This window comes from Homo sapiens, chromosome 17, assembly GCF_000001405.40.
Source record: "Homo sapiens chromosome 17, GRCh38.p14 Primary Assembly".
Classification (NCBI taxonomy): domain Eukaryota; kingdom Metazoa; phylum Chordata; class Mammalia; order Primates; family Hominidae; genus Homo; species Homo sapiens.
The window spans coordinates 15,722,571-15,731,026 of NC_000017.11; the positions used below are offsets into that span (position 1 = coordinate 15,722,571).

The 8,456-nt window shown below is 40.9% G+C and overlaps 1 long non-coding RNA gene across 1 annotated transcript in view; it reads left to right on the forward strand.

Moving 5' to 3' along the window:
- The window catches only part of ZNF286A-TBC1D26 (ZNF286A-TBC1D26 readthrough (NMD candidate)), a 46,414-nt gene that overhangs the window by 22,819 nt on the left and 15,139 nt on the right, over positions 1-8,456 (forward strand). The window lies entirely within an intron of this gene.

Sequence of the window (8,456 nt, forward strand, 5' to 3'; positions counted from 1 at the left end):
AATACCACCCTGGAAATGGGGTCCTCTCATCGACCAGGCTTGAGTCTGTGTAAAACCCTGGAGGAAGAGAGGGTGGAGTCCATCCCATTGATGCAACTTGCACTGTGGGTGGGGACAGGGTGCTTCCCTCAAATAAATCCAAAGATGCTGTGCAGGTAAAACAAACACTGCTATTGGAAGTTAACTTCAGCATGAATAAGACTATCTGGCCTCCTGCTCCCCATCTATTCCCCCCCACAAGAGCAGTTTTTCAAAGATCAAACAGTGATAACATTGACAGAAGTTTAAAACCTAAGAAAGTTGGGTGCAGTAGCTCATGCCTGTAATCTCAGCACTTTGGGAGGCCAAGGCGGACAGATCACGAGGTCAGGAGATTGAGACCATCCTGGCAACACGGTGAAACCCCGTCTCTACTAAAAATAACAAAAAAATTAGCCAGGCATGGTGGCGGGCGCCTGTAGTCCCAGCTACTCGGGAGGCTGAGGCAGGAGAATGACGTGAACCTGGGAGGCAGAGCTTGCAGTGAGCCAAGATCGTGCCACTGCACTCCAGACTGGGTGACACAGCGAGACTCCATCTCAAAAAAAAAAAAAAAAAAAAAAACTAAGAAAGTATTTCCAACATTGATTTCATAGAGTTTCTGTGAGGGTTATGTGAAATTATATATGTGAAAGGGCTTTGTTGCACATTGCTGAGTTATATTTTGATGATAATTTTCTATTCTTTGAGACCAGGCTCTAGTATACAAAAAGCATGGACCTCTCACCAGGGTGCCATTTCTTAATGCTAACTTGTGCTACCTGTCCTTTGTGGCCTGGCAGGGAATCTTTGCTCATCAGTAGTCACTTAGGGACCCGAGATGGTATAGGGCAGCCACCACCATAAATATTACTTTTGCCATATCAAAAACATAGTTTTATGTATGGTTGATTCAATTCCCAGTCTCGTGACCTATGCATCTCATGTTGTAGTGACTCAAACCTGCTGGGTTATCCAGGACTGTAATTTTTTTTTTTTTTTTTTTTTTGAGACAGAGTCTCGCTCTGTCACCCAGGCTGGAGTGCAGTGGCGCGATCTTGGCTCACTGCAAGCTCCACCTCCCAGGTTCATGCTATTCTCCTGCCTCAGCCTCCCAAGTAACTGTGACTACAGGCGCCCGCCACCACGCCTGGCTGATTTTTTGCATTTTTAGTAGAGATGGGGTTTCACCGTGCTAGCCAGGATGGTCTCGATCTCCTGACTTCGTGATCCGCCCGCCTAAGCCTCCCAAAGTGCTGGGATTACAGGCGTGAGCCACCACGCCCGGCCCAGGACTATAATTTTTAAAAACCCATGGTGAGATCTGGCTTCAGATATGACTGGATTCAGATATTCAGAAGATGTCATCAGCTCATTCTCTTGCTATCTCAGCACCATTTAATTCCATCTGAATTTATAATTAACGCTTTATAATTTATTATAATAACTATCAGAATGAAGGAGAGTAAAATCCTTTATTGGAGTATAAGACATGATTATTTCAAAGAGGAGTTGATCAGTGTTCCCCTGAGAGTAAGAATGCATTATATACAGTGTGGACATCTCCAGGGCCTTCCAAACATAAGTAAGTATACAGTTTCTGAAACATTTGTTTTAGTAACATATCTATACAAAATTAAACTAGGGAAGGTTTCCCTTCTCTTTGGTCTGACACCTCTTCCCATAAACAGAGCAGCTCTTACAATCATTTTGAACTAATTAATAACTATAGGACATACCAAACAAACCCAAGTATTTCTTACATTTTCCTGTTTATGAATGCCATATCATAAGCTCCAAGATAAGGGTCTGTTTTGGCTTTGTTCATATATATATATATATATATATATATATATATATATATATATATATATATAAAATGAAAAGCATAACACAGAACAAAGCACAAAACTGTAGTTCTGATGAGAGACAATTTCTACTATTGGGCAGATTACACAGAAGGTAAAGAATGATCTTTCCCTTTCTCTTGTTGAACAAACTATCATTTAAGCAAAGATAACCGAAGTTTAATCTTTTTAAATATAATATTTTGAATTAAAGATTTATAGATTTTAATGAACTCATCAAAATCAAGCCAACTTTTGTCAAAATTTTAATACATTTTATTTCTTCTTTTCAGAATTCGCAGCTATTATAAAGCACAAGTAAAGTTCACTTTCCCCCAAACCTTCCAAAACTTACAGCATCCTCTCCAGTTTTATGCTTTAACTATCTTTTGCATTCTGCAACAACCACACATTTCACTCTAAGAGAAAAATAGTCCTGTTTTCTTTTGATAAACAAAAACATAACATTTTCTTTCTACATGTTTAGGGATCCCCAAGACCACCCCCAGGTTCAATGATTCACTAGAAGGATTCCCAGGACTCAGCATGTTGTCATTTTCTTGGCTGTGGTTTATTATAGTAAAAGGACACACAGCAAAACCAGTAAAGAGAAAAGGCTCATGGGGCGGCAAGGTCTGGAGGAAACAAGGAACAAGCTTCCCCGAGTCCCCTCCCAGCGAAGTCACACAAGACTTGCTCATTTCCCACAGCAAGGAGTTGTGACAGCATGTGTGAAATGTGATCTATCAGGGAAGCTCAGTAGAGATTCAAATCCTAAGGTTTGTACTGGGTGCTAGTCACATAGGCAGTCTCTGTCTAGCATGTACCAAAACTCCAGACTTCCAGAAGGAAAGCAGGTGTTCAGCATAAGCTTCATTGTTTTTACAGACAGTTTAGGAGCAGTGATCCACTTTAATTCTGGAATTAGCGGGAACGATCCCAAAGTTATCCTTCCCAGATGCCCGCCTGTGGCCAACCTCGTAGGCAAGTCTTTCTAAAGATAGCAGGCTCGGACTTGCTATGTTAACTTTTCTGCACAGTTTCGTTGCCGCTATTGTTTTCATACAGCCTCCCAGCCACTCATATTAATCACAAATTTGCTAACCAAAGAAATTAACTGGGATGTAGATAATCAGAACTCTCTACATTAGACAGGCAACTTAGCAGATGAGCAAAACTCACAAACACACATAAAATGACCTCCTGCAGCCACACATCCCTTTTATACCTTCTTAGCACACACATTTCCTAGCTCTGTCTACTGAAACGGGCTAAAAGCAATGACATCTCAGTTGCAATGAGCCCAGATCTTGGTTTCTGATACCGTTCTCTGCTAAAAGGAACTAAGGCTCCTCAGAAAAATGGCTGATTGCAGGTCTGAGGGAAGGAAACTCCAAGAAGATCCTGGAACATCTTATTCCAGAAAAAAAAAAAAGTAGCACTCAAAAAAATGATGAGGGTAGGTCACAAAGACACAGGAAGTAGCCCTCACTGACTAAATCCGGAACAATTTGAGCAGCAAAACAAGAAAATGATGAATTGTAAACCATTGAAGAAGTAGTAGTCCATGAGTTCACATTGATAATAAGTAAATAAATGAGCGATAACAGAGGACACTTGCTTACCGCAGAATATCCTATGCCAATGGGTAAATGCGAAGGGAATGTTGGAGCTGGAAAACTATCATTTTGTAGCCATAACAGTAAAGACTGATTCAAGCAAGAATCAATGGATGCTAAATCTAAGGGGAAATTTTGATGAGGAACAGGATATTTGCATAGAATTGAAGTATCTTTTCCAGAGATTGCTTGTTATGATTAGCAATTGCAAGGCAAAAAATAATTATATAGTGGAAGAACTGGCAAAAACTTTGATTACATGATCAAAATTAATATGAGTAAGCAGCACATGGCCATTCTGTGCCTCAGATGTGATACCATGAGAAGGACACAGCATAATGTGTGTACTATTCTGGCTGGGAATGCATAATGGGAATCTAATCATGAGGAAATATTTGACAAACTCCAAAATGAGGACTATTAAAAGGACTGCATTCTTCAAAAATATTAATGTCACATAAGACAAGGAAAAGCTGAATAACTTCCAAATTAAAAGAGACTAAAGCATCATGACAACCAAATACAATACAGGATCTTTGACTAGGTCTTGTGTGAGAGAAAATCTCCTAAAGACATTATTGGTTCAATTTTTCAAAACTGGAATACAAGCAACAGAATAGATAAAAGTAATGTATTGATGTTAAATTTACTGCAGTTGATAACTGTATCATGGTTGTGTAAAGTATTAATAATATCCTCATTATTGAGAAATGCATATTGAAGTATTTAGAGGTAAAGAAGAGTAATGTATGAAATTGAAATGATTCAAGAAAAATTTGTGTATAGAAAGAGCAAATGATAAAACAAGCAGGATTAAACGTTAACTGTGTGTCAGTCTAAGAGGAACCTGGCTATCCTTTGTAATTCTATTGCAGTCTTTGTGTAAATTTCAGGTTACTTCCAAATTTAGAAAAAAATTAAGTGAACACATATATTGACCCAAAGTTAGACCCATTCTGTAACATGAAAATACAAGGCAAAAATATATATAATACAACTATGTTAAAAGACCCTTTTTTCTATCTTACCTAAAACTTAACATCTCCAATGATTATCCATTAATAAGCTCTTTTTATTTTATTTTATTTATTTTTTTTTTTTTGAGACGGAGTCTTGCTCTGTAGTCCAGGCTGGAGTGCAGTGGCACCATCTCGGCTCAGTGCAACCTCCAACTCCTGGGTTCAAGCGATTCTCCTGCCCCAGCCTCCCTAGTAGCTGCGATTACAGGCGCCTGCCACCACGCCCGGCTGATTTTTTGTATTTTTAGCAGAGACAGAGTTTCACCATGTTAGCCAGGATGGTCTCAATCTCCTGCCCTCGTGATCCGCCGGCCTCGGCCTCCCAAAGTGCTAGGATTATAGGCGTGAGCCACCGTGCCCGGCCTAATAAGCTCTTTGTTTTTTCCTTTTCTTTCTTTCTTTCTTTTTTTTTTTTTTTTTGAGACTGAGTCTGGCTCTGTCGCCCAGGCTGGAGTGCGATCTCCGCTCACTGCAAGCTCCGCCTCCCGGGCTCACGTCATTCTCCTGTCTCAGCCTCCTCTCCTGCCTCCTGTCTCAGCCTGTAGCTGGGTCTACAGGCGCCCGCCACCATGCCCGGCTAATTTTTTTTTGTAGTTTTTAGTAGAGATGGAGTTTCACCGTGTTTGCCACGATGGTCTCGATCTGACCTCGTGATCAGCCCGCCTCGGCCTCCCAAAATGCTGGGATTACAGGCGTGAGCCACCACGCCCAGCCAAGCTCTTTCTTAAAGAGAAGATATTTCCACCTTTAACTGACAAAATCCCAAAAATTTATGTCAAGAATTTATTTTTAAAAACTTCTCGAAGATCATTTAGAAAGATTGATAACCACATTGGAAAAAGTATAAAAAATTGCATAGACCCCTGAAAATATGATTATATACATTTTCTTTTTTTGTTGTTTTTTTGAGACGGAGTTTCGCTCTTGAAGCACAGGCTGGAGTGCAATGGCGCAATCTCGGCTCACTGCAACCTGCCTACCGGGTTCAAGCGATTCTCCTGCCTCAGCCTCCTGGGTAGCTGGGATTACAGGCGTACGCACCACCATGCGAGTTTCGCTCTTGTCCCCCGCGCTGGAGTGCAGTGGCACGTTCTTGGCTCACTGCAACATCTGCCTCCCGGTTTCCAGCAATTCTCCCACCTCAACCTCCCGAGTAGCTGGGATTACAGGCGCCTGCCACCATGGCGAGCTAATTTTTTTTTGTATTTTTAATAGAGACGGGGTTTCATCATGTTAGCCAGGCTGGTCTCGAACTCCGGACCTCAAGAGATCCGCCCACCTCGGCCTCCCAAAGTACTGGGATTACAAGCATGAGCCACCGTGCCCAGCCTGATTATATACATTTTCAATAAACATTTATGAAAGTGGTATCAGGCCTTTTAATAATCAGAAGACCAAAATAAATGAAAACGAAATAACATTATCCACTAACCAGAATATGTAAAAGGAAGACTGACAAAATCAGGTGTTGGAAAGGACATCTAATTAGAACTCTCAAACTTGTGGTTGGGTTATATATTAGTCAAAAAAATCTTTGGAATTAAAATTTAATTGATAAATTGTATGTATTTATGCTATACCACATTTTACATACACACACACACACACACATTGTAGAATAGCTAAATCTGTGTATATATATGTATAGCAACAGACAGACATTGTAGAATGGCTAAATCAAGCTACCTAGCATATCAGTTACCTCAGATACTTATCTTTTTTTTTTGTGGTGAGAACATTTAAAATCTGCTGTCTCAAAAATTTCAAGTATTACCACATTGTTATTAACTGTAGTCAACATGTTGTACAATAGAGCTCTTGAGCTTTTCCTCCTAGCTGACATTTTTAGTGACATGCGTTGCATTTGAACATATGCAGTTACCATGACCAAGCTATTTTATTTGTAGGGCTGTACTTAACTAAAATATCTATACATGTGTACCAAAAGAAATTAACAAGAATGTTCATAGTGGCTTTATTGCTAGTAGTCCCAAAATGGAAACAAACCAATGTCCATCAACAGTAGAATTGATAGATGTGCCATATTCATGCAGAGCACCACCGAGCAGGGAAAAGAAATGAACTGCTTGGGCCGGGCACGGTGGCTCACGCCTGTAATCCCAGCACTTTGGGAGGCTGAGGCGGATGGATCACTAGGTCAGGAGATTGAGACCATCCTGGCTAACACAGTGAAACCTCATCTCTGCTACAAATACAAAAAAATTACCTGGGCATGGTGGCAAGCGCCTGTAAGTCCCAGCTACTCGGGAGGCTGAGGCAGGAGAATGGTGTGAACCTGGGAGGCAGAGCTTGCAGTGAGCCGAGATCGCATCACTGCACTCCAGCCTGGCCGACAGAGCGAAACTCCATCTCAAAAAAAAAAAAAAAAAATGAACTGCTTCATGAAACCACTTGAAGGAGTGTCACAAATGTAATGCTGGGCCAAAGAAGCCACACACAAAACCATTCCTACTGAATGGCCCTCCATGCTTCCATTTATGAAACAGACAACACTAATTGGGGCTGCTAAAAACCAGGTGACTCTTTGCTTTGACAAGACAGGTGGGCAGTGGTTAGGGAGCAGACCTTCAGGAGAGGGATTTCCAGATTGTTATTTTTATTTCATTTTCTTGGACTGTGTGGTAGCTCCAAGCATGTGTCCTCTTTGTGATAAATCACTGAGTAGTAGAATAATAGGATTCCTGTGTATATTATACTTTAATAAACATATTTGAATTCCTTTTTCCATTAGGACAAATAATATAAATCATAATAAATCTTTGCAATTTTAGTATTATTTCTAGTTGATGAAAAATAAGCCACCTGAAGGATTCCAAACTTGCGTATTTCAATATAGAACTTACATGTTCTAATATATATTTCTAGAGATCCAAAACTGTCTGATTAATGTCATTTGAGTGTAAAAAAGCACAGTTATGTTTACAATTTGCTCTCTAATCTTTTACTTGAAGTTAAGCTAATTATCCACATCCATCAATAAAACTGCTTTCACAGAAGAGTCCAATCCATGGCATAAATGACAGGAACTTTAGAAAAGTCGTTTCTTCTTCATTATTTATGTAAAAACATTAAATTTCTTAGAAACACAGGCCAGCAAACTCCCAGTTTAGTGTTGCTTTCATTGCTTTCTGTAGTCTTGTTACCAGAGAAGATTTTTATGTTCCAGAATTGCACAGAGGGAAAACCTGACTATTATGGTTACCACTGTGGCCATCAAGACAAGGCACTTGATTCCTAGGATCCCAGCAATGACCCTCCCTGGAGGTGATGGGAATTAAGAGACCTGCTATGGAAATTGTGGGGGCTGAGTAAACAGTATCTACAAATCTTTCTCTGTGTCTGATACTTGAAGTCCACAGGCAGTAAACAAGGGAAGACTGCAGAACAGGCAGGGAGGGATTCCATGAGCAAGAGCTGGAACCCCATAAAAATAAAGTGAAACCCATGTTCATGAAGCTAAACACAGGCCAGTAACCCAGCAGTCAGAGAAACTAAAGGAAAAATCCAAGGAAAGGCAGAGCAATTACAGGCTTAGCTGCTGTTTCATGGCAGTGAGATAAGTCAGCAGATCAGCAACAAGTGTGGTGTGTGTGTGTGTGTGTGTGTGTGTGCGCGCGCTCCCACGCGCACGTGACCACTTGCTACGAAATTCGTTTTATTCCAGTGTGTGAGTGTGCACCTGTGTGCGTGTGTGCACTCCTGTTGACCCAGTTTCTGCTCTGTGGCCAGGTCCATGACCCTAGACGACCCCAGGTGTGCTCTCGATGACGTCTGCAGGGATGGAGCACCGCCCCTGCCATTGGGTATTGCACTGTGTGATGCCATCCTCGGGGCCCTCAGGGTGATGGAACCCAATAGGCTTCCTTAGGCTTTCCTTTCAGATGGACAGGAAATAGATGATGTTCCATTGTCATTTTGTTTTCTTTCTTTCC